General features: G+C 38.7%; 1 protein-coding gene across 31 annotated transcripts in view; it reads left to right on the top strand.

The window, feature by feature from the left end:
• ENOX1 (ecto-NOX disulfide-thiol exchanger 1) overlaps nt 1-14,279 on the top strand; it is a 573,843-nt gene that overhangs the window by 338,507 nt on the left and 221,057 nt on the right. Inside the window, exon 4 of one of the 31 annotated variants that reach the window (NM_001347968.2) lies at nt 11,098-11,149. The exons of the other annotated variants lie outside the window; for them this stretch is intronic. The gene's annotated coding sequence lies outside the window, so the exon portion shown is untranslated. The remainder of the gene's footprint in view (nt 1-11,097; nt 11,150-14,279) is intronic. 31 annotated transcript variants of the gene reach the window in all.

The following is a 14,279-nucleotide window of genomic DNA, read 5'->3' as shown; positions in this document are numbered from 1 at the left end:
AGATGCAAACAAAAAATGCTCTTAAATTTTAAAAACCTAGAGCTAAGTTGATCTTCATCTTAATCTTTATTTGCCGTTTGAAGTTTTTTTAAAAATTAAACCATTGACAATATTTAAATTGGCAAGCCTAAGCTTAAACAAAGTCCTATTTAGGTACAATGGTAATGAGAGTTAACCTTTTTTATTTTTATTTTAAATCTGTCTTTGCACAATTAGCAAATTATTAAATGACCTCTCCTGCAAAGTTTGCAAGCAATTGCCTGTTCCAACTAATAAGAGAACATGTTTTACAAGGTTCATGTTGATTAATTGACAAATGCTGATAAAATCAAAGCAGTGCAAAAATGCAGTGCACCAGCTGCAGCATAAATTACTTCTGTTCAATAATGTTTCCAGTGGCTATACATTTATGGTTTACCTTTCAATAAATATTACTGTCTTAATTGAAACATCCATTGTGGAAATTTATCTCTGAAGATGATTGTCAGGAACCACGGCTAGGACTAAACATTTCTATATCTGTATATGCTTTTCTGCTCAATTAAAGGCATTGATTGCTGTGAACATTTTAAAGATGGATGCTTTATGTTTTGTATGAAAGGAACACAAACACATTTTAATATACTTGGAAAATCATATACTCTTGATTGACCTCAGTGTTCTCTACATTTCTGATAGCTTCAACAATAAATACAAAATATAACTTCAAAACTACTAGCCTTACACCAATCCATCAGCTGTTATGGCAGCTATGAAGGTCTCCATTAGAAGGGCTATAGCTGGCTGTTTTATGCTCATGTACATTTCATGTATGCATCAGAGATGCTTGGCCAGACCCAGATTTCTGCTTTTGCATATGAATGAGTGAAAAAGGTGTCAAAAAGATCTCCTGCATTCTGGATAAAACCCAAAGGTCCAGAGAATTCCAGTAGACAGGGAATGTAAGTCAGGGCACAGACTATCTTGCAGGGTTCCTACCCCTCTCCTATTGTGGTCCCTGTCCATCTGATAGACTTCCATACTCTAGTGCCTTAAGAACACCTTGGCATGTAAATTTAGGGGCCCAACCAAGCTGATCCTTTAGTTTAGACATCCTAAGATGTCCTGCTCATCCACACTGCTGGAAAAGTAGATATCCTCCACCAAGTGACATCGACATACTTTTCTCAACAAAGTCATTTCAGTTCAGCAAATATTTATCAAGCCTACTATATGTCAGGCACTGTGCTGGGCCCTTGGGATATACACACGAATCAGACAGTTTATCCAGAAGAATCTTACAATAGACAGTCATATCCTCAACATTTGCAATGTGTTATTTAAAAGACATCTTTCTATAATTTGCCAATTTTTTGAGCTCCTATTTTGTACCAGGCATTACTCTAGGTGTTCAAGAAATATTCTAGATGTTTTCTTTCTTTGGTATTAATCAGAGGCCACTATGTTCTCATGGCCCTCTAAGGCAAATTTCATTTGCCAGTATTCTGTTTGAGCTACCCCACTTGCTGATTACCAGTTCGTATTGTACTCAAGATTATCGCAGCTTCCAGACCTGGATTGAGATTAGGGTTTGACTGGTAGGACAGGACTGACCAGAGACTATCATTCTAAACTTTAGTCAAAGAGTACTGTGCCCCCAGGATGGGCATGGAGACTGTGGAATAGGAATATGGGATTGTTGGATGAGGGAGTTAAGGACAATTTGGGGCACATGAGAACCAAGCTGATTTGGGGATGTGGATCACAGTAGAGACAGATTAAACTGGCAAGCCAAGGCTGAAGGTTGGGCAGAAGTTAGATGGGGCTTATAAACAGGAGAATTCCAAGTATTTGACTAGAAGGTAAGCCCAGAAGGCAGAATAGCCATGGAGGGCATAGAGAGGTAGCCAGTTAGGAGAGATCAACGCAGGTTAACAAGCGGGTGAGTTAGAGCCATCAGCCCAGTAGGCATTTAAGCATTCTAGAAGATAAGGAGCCACTGGGATGTATTCAACCATCAAGAAACTCAGGTTTAAGAAGAAAAAAAAAAAGGAAATCCTTGCCACTGAAAATTCTGGTAATCTGGGCCACAAAGCTCTGAGCAATAGGCAGTGAGATGGAGAATTTCTGAGTCCAGGCTCATTTTGTTCTCTCAGCCCAGACATCATTAAGACAGTGTCTGGCATGCTGTAGTCACTCCACAAATATTCCACGGAACTGACCTGGGTTCCAAAAGGGAGGCAGATTCCAAAATGAGGCCATTTTTATATGGCAGTTTACAAATTAAATTGTCTTGGCACTTAATGAAAAAAAAAAAACAAGGCACAGGACAAACCCACAAGAAGGAAGATGATCATTTGTTTCAAAGATACCTGCATTGTCTCAGTATTTACATTTGTTCCCTCCCTTGATTTCTTTTCTTGTGGGTTGGCATTTAGGAAGAAGGGAGACAGACTACTGTGGAACCTGGAAAGTTCTGAGTGTGTGGTTAGCTATTACCCAGATTGGAGATGTTTTCCTCGTGGGAGCTTTCAGAAAGAAAGCAATGAAAAGGGAAGGCTGAACTGATTAAACCCTGCAGAACTCCCAGGTTTATGTCTGTGAAGATTTCAGTGAGGAGCCAGAGCTTAGCTGAATTGCTTGCGTCACACCCAGAATCTCTTCTTATCTCCCAGGAAGGGGCTGCCTGATGACCTGCATCCCAGGAGGCTCTTTTGCTTTTGGTGATAGCTGCCAGTAAAAATAATAGGAAAGATTGTTCCATGTGCCCTTGGTAATGGTCCTATTATGCTGGTGTTGTACATCACACATAAAAGTTGTAAAACACAGTCTTTTAAAAAATGCCCTCTTTGAAAAAGTTGGGTCATTGAGATCCAACAAAAACCACCTGAGCAGGATCCATGCCCTTCAATCGCCATTCAGAACCCCCAAGCCAGGAAAGACCTGAGCGCCATTCCTCATTCTGCAGTCCTGGACCATGTTCCCTGTTTTAACACTAGATGGGACATTGTTGTTATTGCAGTGGCTTTTTTAAAAAAAAGAAATGTATAAGACCCAGAAAGTGGGCCGGGGGCAGTGGCTCACACCTGTAATCCCAGCACTTTGGGAGGCCAAGGCGGGCAGATCACGAGGTCAGGAGATCAAGACCATCCTGGCTAACACGGTGAAACCCCATCTCTACTAAAAATACAAAAAATTAGCCAGGCGTGGTGGTGGGTGCCTGTAGTCCCAGCTACTTGGGAGGCTGAGGCAGGAGAATGGTGTGAACCCAGGAGGTGGAGCTTGCAGTGAGCCGAGATCGTGCCACTGTGCCCCAGCCTGGGCAACAAAGCAAGACTCCGTATCAAAAAAAAAAAAAAAACCCAGAAAGAAGGAAACATTTCTCTAGAACATAGTATTGTTCTATAGAATCAGAAAGCACTGGAGCAGAAAACAGCCAGGAAAAGAGTCCAGTCCAGTCCTTGCTTCTCATTCTTACTTGAGAAAACTGTGACCAGCCCGAGTTCACATAGTGGGTCAGTGGCAGACCCAGAACTGGAAGCCAGAACCCAGGTCTCCCTAGCCCAGGGCAGCTTCTGCCCCCTGCCTCGTGGCCACATGCCCAGGGAAGAGGTACGGGTGGCACGTGGATCCAACAAACCATCTTCTTTTATACAGAGAATAATAAAAGAGTGAAATCCCCAAGGCTTGTCCTCCTGAATACATCCCTCCTACAACTTGACTCTGTATGTAGAACTCAAAGAAAGGTGAACAATGAACACAATTCAGTTTTTGTACCTCTCTTATACACGTTTTTTAAATGCCAATATGAATGAATTAACTTGATTTTTTTAAAATGTGAATAAATGAAATATGTTTCTAGCTAACTTAAGAATTTGAAATTCTGGTTTAGTTAGGCACTGTGAAACGGGTCACAGTCTGTCTTCTTGGTCTTCTCAGCCATTTACCGGCCATCTTCATTTGAGCTATTGTCACCCCTGGCCTTTTCCTAGAACCCAGCTGAAGACAAGGGATGTCCCAGAACTTTTTTCTCTCTCCAGGTCCACCCAGGGGACCTTGCTTTTCTACTCTTCCTTTGCCGTCTGTGAAAGAAGTAGAATATGAAGCCTGCAGCTCAGCCTTCACCTCCACTCACACCAGTGTGATTAAATTATTGAAAGAAAATGATCCGCTCTCCTTGCTCTCCTTGCTGATGACTAACAGGTCCCAGCTCAGAGCAAATTCCTCGCAGACCCTGTAGTTGATAGGCCTGGCAGACTGTGTTTTAGCAGACTCTTTCTTAAGAAGGTTAAGGCTTATGTTTTAAGCAGACTGAAAAGGGGTGCTATTGCAGTCTGCTTAAAACACTTTTGCTTTTCCTCAATTCACTGGTAGCTCCCCCGACCCCACTCACAGGCCTACAGTGCTAATTCTAATCTTTAGTTCAGTTACTGCAGCGTTCTCACTTTCTCTGTGGCTACCAAAGTACTTCACATCCTCTTCTTACTACCTGTACTTCCTAAACAGCTAGGATCCGTGGGAGAAGAGCAGGCTAGTCATAAAGAAACAATCTAGATTGTAATTTTTGCTTCTTGTTAGACATTGCACACTTAAACCTTTTTGAAGTAAAACGCTTCTAAAAGTCAAATCTGAAAAACTTGGCATGTGTGGATAATTGTTTTTTCTTCACTTGGAATGCCTCTCCTTCGCCTGGTCTGATCCTATTCTTCCTTTACAACCAGCTCAAATGTCACCTCCTCGGGTGAGCTTCCACTCTCCCTACATGCAGGTTGCCTTCCAGGATCCTCGCTCTTTACTCCGTGTGCTGCCAAAGCCTCTTATTCCCACCACCGGGATATACCAGTTATCTCAAGTACATTATAATCAGTTATATACGTGTCTGTCCTGCCAGCACAGTTGTGGACTCCTTAACAAGAGGGACAGTGGATGGTGCCTGATTCACCTTGCATCACGCAGGCAGAGCATAGTAGATGATGTACATCGGGACTTCCATGCATATTTACAGGATTAAATCAAATTATGTCAGTGCCAGCTCTTTTAATATAAGGATTCTGAGCTTTTGGAAGGTGGATCAAGTAAAAGCGTAATTTAAAAGTCATAGTCTTCTGAAATTTCCTGAAGACAGTTCCTGAAGATTTAAAAATTTTTATGTTCTTATTTTTAATGTGAACATGTTATATAAAATTAGCCATATATTACTATGTATATGGGAACATTGGTCATTTATTTGCTCCCCACATCCGAATTGAACAGAATTTTTGGTCACAGATTCTCTTTGCTATATACGAAAGATTTATACTGGAAACATGTGTAAATCTAATGTCTGTAAATAAAAGTATGTGTTAAAATGCACTAAGGGAGCTGTTTATAGAAAACATTTTTCCAAGTGAATAATATTTATATAAAAAGGATAATTTCTGAACTTATCAGAGGATGTGGCTTTTATAGGGTAGTATTTTTCCCAGAATGATAAAGGCATTTCTATATTCCAGTCAAAATTCTCCTGGCATTAATTTTGTTTTTCCATAGTATATTTAAAACACTGGACTTATTCTTAAGATTTTTAATTTATACAACAGATATTCTAAAGTTAATAACTCCTCTCGCTGTCATAAAATTGGTATGTATTATGTATTATTTCTCATCCCATTAATAAAAAATTACTTGCATGGGCATTTAATGATTTTAACACAAATATTATTTGAAGGAATCAGTATATTATACCCTTGATTTGCAAGAAGAACTGAGGGCTGATGTGAACGCTGACACAGAGCCGGGATATGGAAAAGGACCCTAGGCATAAATCTCAGTGAAACACTTATTGTCCAAAGAACCAAAAATATTGTGCTTGGAACTGAAGTTTTATGAGTTTTATTTAAAGGTTTCCATTTTCATTTTTTCCAGACTGCCCAAATTCAGAGCAAGGCATGGGTTAGGGTGGTGTGGGTTTGGGGATATTGTCATTGGTATTTAGAGTGAGTGACTGTCAGTGTCTCTGTGCATTCAGAATGCAGGGTCACTGCTGCCTCTTGCCCTATCTCCCAGTGGTGGGCACAGCAGAGGTCTTTTAATAATGCATTCGCTAAGTTGAAAAATAATATTCTTGGCTCTGGAACTACATATTTAACACATTCTCAGGCTATGCCATATGGAAAGCCTAGTGCTTTTAGACTGAGGTTCTGCCGTGCATAAATAAAACACTTGAGTGTTGACCTTTTTCAGTAAACAATACTAGAAATGTTGAGTACCTTTAAAATTCAAATGCAGGTTTTAAAATGTGTTCTCATTTTCATGGGCAGCTGAGACCAGCCTGCACTAATACCCAGCTAATCTGGGGGCTGTGAAGAGCTGGGGAATCAGTCCGACTCGGCTCCTCTATGCTTGTTTTAGCTCCATGTGCGGAGGCTCTGGGGCCCTGGTCTGTTCAATTCTCCCTACGTGTAGGCGTTTTAATTTCCCAGGAGATCTCTCTCGTGTCTGGGCATTTGTATGGTGAGCATCAAATTTGGACCCACATATATGCCTCTACCCAATTTTAATTAAGTAGTAAAACTGATCTTTATTTATTAGAATTTTATTTCAAACACCAACATCCCTCCTTCTACCTCTACCTTTAAAAACATTTCTAATGGCTTAAAAAAAAAAGTGTTCTTTCTTGCTCCTAAAAAAAAAAAATCGAAGGAGAAAACCTCCACTTCATTGTGAGATCTTGTCCAACTTTTATTACTGGTTCTTGGGATCACAACATACAGAGCGGGTGTAGCTGACTGGAGATTTCATTTGCCCAAAGATGATGATTACCAGCAGACCCGCAGTGCCGCCTTCGGGCAGGTAGGTTCTAGGGCAGGACCTCCAGGTGGGAGAGCTGTATCTGACCTATTCTACTGAATTAAAAATTAAAATCTGTTTAGAAGCAGCCTGGTCATTTCTAGCCTAGAGCATCTAGTAGTAGCCCTGGGTTAATGAATGTGTTTTAGAATCGTGTTTCCTTTCTCCTTGCTGCAAATGGCCCCTCTCCCTTTGTTTTACTACTCCTGTCTTTTTTCCTGTCTGAACAATGGAAGTAACCATGATAATTCCAACAATTCGAGCTGAGATACTGATTTATAAAAACATACAGCCCTTGTAAGAAATGACATGTATATTTAGCTTAGTAGAATGTAATTTCAATCAGTTAACTGGAGTCATTAGTTAATAAGGAATTTTTTTTCTTATAAGTCATGGGGGAAATTGCAGCTAATATACAAACAACTTTGCATCATAACACTTAGTTAATACGCTGGATGCAACATGGAATCATTCCAATTTCTTAGGCCTATATTTATACAACCAATAGTATGTAATGACTACTGATCTTACATTAGAAATATCAGAAATCAGTAGGACAGATCTTCAGTCTTTTTTTGTCTTTCATGGCTGTGAAATTTTTGAAGCGTACTGGTTATCTTATAGAATATCCTTGATTTGGGTTTGTGTGATGTTCTTTCATGATTAAATTGAGGTTATAAAATTTTGGCAAGAATACCACAGAGGTGGTGTAACCTTCTCAAGTGTATCAAGCATATCATGTCAATGTGTCTTATTACTGCTTTCAAAACCTGTTTGATAACATCAGTTGAAACAATGTTTTCTCCAGTTAGCCAAATTTATCATTAATCAAAACATAGTATTCTTGTATCATTCTTATGATTGAGGTTCATATTTAGTATTTTTAAAAATACACTTTTATACATATGTATAAATTTACCTGGATAAAATGATACTTCAGTGATTTGTATTATAATTAACACTTTTTATAGCATTCTAGTTTTAGGCATTCATCTAAGGTTGCTCTTATTTTTAGTTTTCTGATTGGTAAAGTACAGTTTTTATGGAAACTACATGAGATGATACATGCGAAAGTAGTAGCAGATAGTAGTTGCTTGGCAAATTTTAGGTAAAGTAGAATTCTGATTTTGATAATTTTTTTGTTAAAAAAACTCACATTCAATCTCAGGGCAGTAAAATGTCTTTAAAAATGTCGTGAGTTACCTACATATTGTAGTAAGCAGTGTCAGCAAATGTTTAACTTGGAACCTAAAAACACTTCAGTAATCACTATTAATACAGAGATTTTTAACATTTCTGGCTCTTCAAGTTAGCCACTTGTTTCTACTTCTTTAATTGCCATGCTAAAAGACCCTCTAAGTTTCTCAATAATTCATCTTTTCATTCATTTAGTGGTTTTTTGTCTAACTGTTAGAATTGATCATTAGATATAAATGACAGGAAAGCTCTAGATTTATCAGACTTCAAGGTTCAGGCTTCTGAGATCTATTAATAGATAAGGAACAGGAACGAGGTTTAGCTTCTATTTCTCAGGCTACACCTCTGTGCCTAATTCACCCTTTTAGATATTTATTCCCTATTTTTAATTTTATTTGCTGATGTAAGGGGCTGTCTTACATAACATAAAAATTTTGGGAGTCAAAGGTTTCCTCGAGGTAAAAAATATACATATATATAAACATGTTTTGCCTATAGCTGTATGCTTTTGATTATTTCTGAAACCATTTTCTGAATCTATAATACACTCATGGATGTACCTATAGGCATATTGAAAATAATGCATTGTGGCTTCAAATGTTTCACCAGAAAAATCTGGCTCGTTGCTCATTTATTGACTGAACGTGTGTGTTTTGCTAGGTCAGTGCTTACATACACGATAGTGAACAAAAGAAACAGAATGCTTGCTTTCATAGAACATCAGTCTAGTAGGAGGAATAGACATTGAGAAAAAAGTAAATGAAAAATATGTAAAAGCACACAAAAAATGTTAAAGAACGAGTTGCTATAAGAAGGGATGTTCATCAATAATGTAAAAAAATATAAGAAAAGATTGAATTTGAGTGAGTCCAGTAATCTCTCAGCCAGTGTTCTGTCTGCAAGTTGAAGCCAGGAACACTATAACATCACATTTGTGGACCCTTAAGATTAGAAGATAGGAAGGCCAGGGACGGTGGCTCACGCCTGTAATCCCAGCACTTTGCGAGGCTGAGGTGGGCAGATCACGAGGTCAGGAGCTCGAGACCAGCCTGACGAGCATGGTGAAACCCTGTCTCTATTAAAAATACAAAAATTAGCCAGGCGTGGTGGCTGAGGTCAGAGAATCACTTGAACCTGGGAGGCAGAGGTTGCAGTGAGCCAAGATCTCACCATTGCACTCCAGCCTGGGTGACAGAGTGAGACTCCGTCTCAAAAAAAAAAGTGAAAAAAAAAATACAAAAAAATTAGCCAGGTGTGACCCACGGGTGCCTGTAATCCCAGCTACTCGGGAGGCTGAGGCAGGAGAATTGCTTGAACCCGGGAGGTGGGAGGCAGAGGTTGCAATGAGCCGAGATTGCACCACTGCACTCCAGCTTGGGCAATAAGCATGAAACTCCGCTCAAAAAAAAAAAAAAAAAAAGATTAAAAGACAGGAAAGTTCATTTAGTAAATTTCTCACACAATAATACACTGTTGAGCATAGAAAGTCAACCAGCTGCTTCTTCAAAAATTTCAAGAAGCCCTCTCCTTCCCTTCCTCCTTTTAACTAATCACTCAAAGAGCTATGGATCGACTGTATACTACAGTGGCTGTCAGATTTGGATGCATATCAGAATCTCCTTTGGAGCTGTTTTAAAAAATGCCTGCACCTCACATCAGATCCACTAAATCAGAATCTCCTGGGGGTGAAGACCAAGCATATGCATTTGGAAAAGTCTCCTCAGGCAATTTGATTCAAGTCCAATGCCCATCAGAGGTTGAGAGCCACTGTGTGCCAGGCATACAACATAGCTTTGTGGCTACTGAGGGAAGCAAATAGCCATCCAGGGGACAGATACATTTTTGTATGGTTTGTAAGTTTAATATTGAAGCATTTGATTGCTCTGTGGAAAACTTACATTTTCCTCCTGAACTAAACTAATCCTTTAAGTGTTCTTGTGCCATGGAAATCCCTATTTTTATCCAACAATTCCTTTGAGGTGGAAACCTGGGATTCATTTTTGAATGTTACCTTCTTGGGCCCTCACACATGTCACTCACTCCCTCTCACTTCCACATTCCAATTGCTATCTCTTCTGTCTCCAGAAGTACCTCTTAAATCTGTTCCCTCTCTTCATCTCCGCTGCCACTGCCTCATCTTGTCTGGTCTCCCATAATTACCTCCAAATAGATTTACCCTCCTCAGGCTTGTCTTCCTGTAGAGCTTACTCTGTACTTCTCTAAGAATTATTGCTCTAAATTACAAATTTGACCCTGTCACTCCCCATTTAAAATATTCCATTTGGTCTCCATTGCCTGTAGGAATTAAACTCCTTAGCATGACCCCTGCCTACATTGTTAGCATCGTTCTCCACTTTTTCACCATGTTCCCTTTAAACTACAGCCAAACAAAAATACTCATTTTCTGTATCATGCCACATACTTTTCACACAGAAGTATTTTTGATCATAGTGTTGTCATGCCTGAAACACATTTTAAGGTGTTTTATTATCCCTCCCCACCAATTTTTTCCTCTATTTAACCTTGGAGAAAATCTAAAATTACCTTCAAAGTTAATTGTTTTTTCTTCTGTGTTGTTTCTGTTAACCTGCGTTTTAATGCATTTACCCATTTATCTGCTTTATACTGACCTATTTTTCCAGGTCTCCCTTCTTTGGAGTGAGTTTCTTGTTCACCTAGAATTTAAAATGGTGCTGCACACAGTGGAAGTTACTAAATATTCACTGAATGAATGGGAAAAAGAATGGATGACCCTGAAATCGGTCCGCCATAAACCCTAACCATTGGCACTAAGTCCATTCTTTGGCGTATTGCTTAACTAATCTAGTTCACCTTCTATATCCGCTTTACTTCTAATATGTGAAAATCAGTCTCATCCTGTATCTTTTGCCCCAGGTCACAAACCTAGTAAGTTGTCATTCTAAAACTGGCACCAACTCTTTGGAATTCCGGTAGTCATTATGGGTCATTTCCATAGTTGCACTAAGTTCTCAAGGTCAAATGATTGAATCCCGATAAAGTTGCCACAAGCTCAGATTTTCGGGAAAGGAAAGTGGAAGCATTTAACCTAGTGTCATATTATGTTGGTTGCAGGATTGGGTCTTACTGGCTTGTTCTGTGAATGTCTGATGCTAGCTCTGGGTTGGTGAGTAAATCCCCCCATCACCACGTCAGGCTGAAATTCCATGCGTATTTTGTTTATTCTACCCTTCCCAATGTGCGGATTATTTTGCTTGCAGGGGTGGATTCACAAAATGGGAGTTGAACAGTTCTGTCATCTTTGCTATTTATTGTTAATGGCCTTCCCCAAAAGTATTGCTATTTTTCCTTGTTCTTCTTTTGAAGACTTTAAAAAATATGTTCTATAAACATCCCTTTGGTATGTTTTTTCAAAATGTTCGATCCCAGTCCTGTATTTAGGCCTCTTCAGCATTCTTCTAGGAATTATTCCCACACACTGGTGTTTGTCTTTACCCTCGTGTCCTTGGTTCCATTTATTACTTGTCATTTTAGAATCAAAATTCATCAGAGAAATTATTGTAAGCCATAGTGATTTCTACAGTGGCATCTCTTTTTGTTTCACTAGGATTATGACTATCCAGTTATAGAATCAAAATTTTATTTTTCTAAATCTCTCTTACACTTATTAGCCCTGATACCTGTGTGTTTATATCACACTTGTATTTTCTCTGAACCTTAAAAAAAAAAGTTTTCTGTAAATAATGATGTGGATCTGATTAGAATTAATGTTCTCTATCCTCACATAATATTATGAACTCCAAGCTGTATAGTAACTTTCTTCCAAAAGTCCTGTCATCTTCATATTGTTATTGACTTTTTTTGCAGCTGGCCAATATCAAGGCTGTTATATAACTCTTCTCTGCCATGAAAGGTTGTGAACAGACTCCTGCCATTCCTATCCTGGTTCAATTAAAGCATTGTAAATCTGCTCTCCATGACTTTATTTAAAGCTCCCTTAACATATATAATATTTTAGGTATTGTTTTTGGTCTCTTGGTTAATGAATTCTGAGATTACTTTCTATGTTGTAAAAAATGTGCTTTATTTTCTTTCTACTGAAATGATCTATTTTATGCTTTCTTTGAGCAGTAAAACCTAGTTTTAGTATTTCATGAGTTGGTGAGTAAATGTATGTTTATATTGTCAAGACTTTCCTAATCTTTTCAGTCTATCTTTTATAAAGAAGCCCACTTTAGTTTTCTAGTTGATAAACCAGCATCTTTATGTAGGAAAACATTGTACTTTGGAAGCATGCATTTAAATCCCTTGACATTTTTCTCAAAGCAACTTTTTAGAGAATAAAACTACTATTGTCATTATATACATACAGAGACCAATATAATCTGAATAACTTGACTTAAATGTAAAATAGTAAAGAGGCAGCTATGTCCTTTCAGCAGCCTCCAACGCTCCCGATTTCACACATTTGAGTTTACCATTTCCTGCCTGAGCTGCCTGCGCACTTTCTCTCTGTCTCTCTTCCCACATAGGTTGGTTTTTTTTTTTTTTTAATCCTTTGAGACTCAGACCATATTCTTCTCCATTCATGGTGTTTTCTTGATACCCCAGATGAAAATAACACCTTTCTTCTGCCTCAACCACAGACTTCTACAATAAATATTTTTCTTTAATATTATTTGTTTCAACATCTAGTTATTGACCTCTTAGGTATTATGGAGACATAATTTTTTATGAATGGAAATAAAGACTGATTAGCAGGCAGAATTTTGTTTCTGAACCATTATATTTAAAAAAGCATAAGTGGCAAAAGCTTTCAAAACACCAACAGCATGTAAGTATTTTGTGTTTTTAAAATAGAAATGAAATATGTAGGTTGTGTGAGTACCGTGGTTTATTTCTTGAAGCATATGAATCATAATTATCCCTATCCATTTCAAAAGACCCAGGCACCATTGTGTAAAGGACAGTATTAAACAGAATCTGAAGCTTGGTGCCGTGGTCAGTAACTGGGCAGAGAGGACAGGAGCCAATAGGATATCCTAGTAGGTACCAGCTTCCCATGGCCTCCACTTTCTCAGCTATTGGTGGCATTGTCAGTTGGAATGGAGAAGTGGAGGATGTAATGTACAATCACACTGCTGAGAATGAGTCCAGATGGTCATGTTCTGACCAACAGGCCACACTACCCCTTAATGCTTCCCAGTGGTGAGGTTAGCTCCCAGCGTGGAGTGCTCCATAGGAGTCCTGTGTTTTCATTTGCTCCAGGTTGTAGGTTTCCTGGCTGGAATGGCATACTCCATTGCGTGGCCCATCAGTTTCCAGTTTTAGAATGACCATAAGGAAAACAAATGGTGTTTCCTGGTAAGATCTCATCATAAGTGACCAGACAAATCCCTATGTCAAGTCCGTCTTCTGCGTGCCGGGTATTATGCTAAGAGGTTTGTAATCTCTCCTTGCCTCTTGTGTACAAATATCCAGGAAACTAATGGAAGAGAAAACACAAATACATAGATATACAAAAAAAAAAAAAAAAAAAAAAAAACCACACACACACAATAATAAGACACGTTAAAAGGACACGTAGAACAGTGATTGTCAAAATACATTTGGTCAGTGGTTCAGTAGTGGATACAAGCTTAATAATTTTTGCTGTATCTGTACCATCAAAACGTTTATTTACTTATTCATTTTTACACAGTTCAATAAAGTACTCATTTTAGCCTCATCCTAAACAATGATGTCTGGTTTTCTTTTAATATTTTTTCCCTGACACATATTAGGTTGAACTACATGAAACTGCCAATATTTGACCATTTTTTAAATCCACAGAAACATCAATTTCACATGACTCAAAGCAAATATAGCTATTAAAAATTAAAATAATGGTGTTGGGTCCCACATTAAATCCTCTGACATACCACCCTTGGGGAACTCTGGGGTTCAGAGGAGCAAGTGGTTGTAGAAAATTGATCTTACATGGTGTCTTGGAGGAGGTGGGCCTTTATATGAGCCTAAAAAGAGAGAAGCATAGAGAAGAGAAGGAACAGCCACACCCACAGTGGAGCAGCTGTGAGCACTGGCGTGTGGGAGGCAATGTGCAACACCAGGCAGAAAGGAAGGCCGAAGGACTAGAGGGAGAGCGACTAGCTCCTTGGATGTCTCAACCCTTGCTTTTATTTGAAAACCATGTTTTCAAAAAAAGCATATGAGCACAGTTTTAAGACCTCTCTCAAGTCTCCTAAAAATTATTCTCTTATTGTTTCTAATACCTTGAGCAGGGTCAGGTATTTCTG

This window comes from Homo sapiens, chromosome 13 (assembly GCF_000001405.40).
Source record: "Homo sapiens chromosome 13, GRCh38.p14 Primary Assembly".
Classification (NCBI taxonomy): Eukaryota; Metazoa; Chordata; class Mammalia; order Primates; family Hominidae; genus Homo; species Homo sapiens.
Note: the sequence above shows the minus strand (reverse complement) of the source record. Positions and strands in the feature narration are given on the sequence as shown.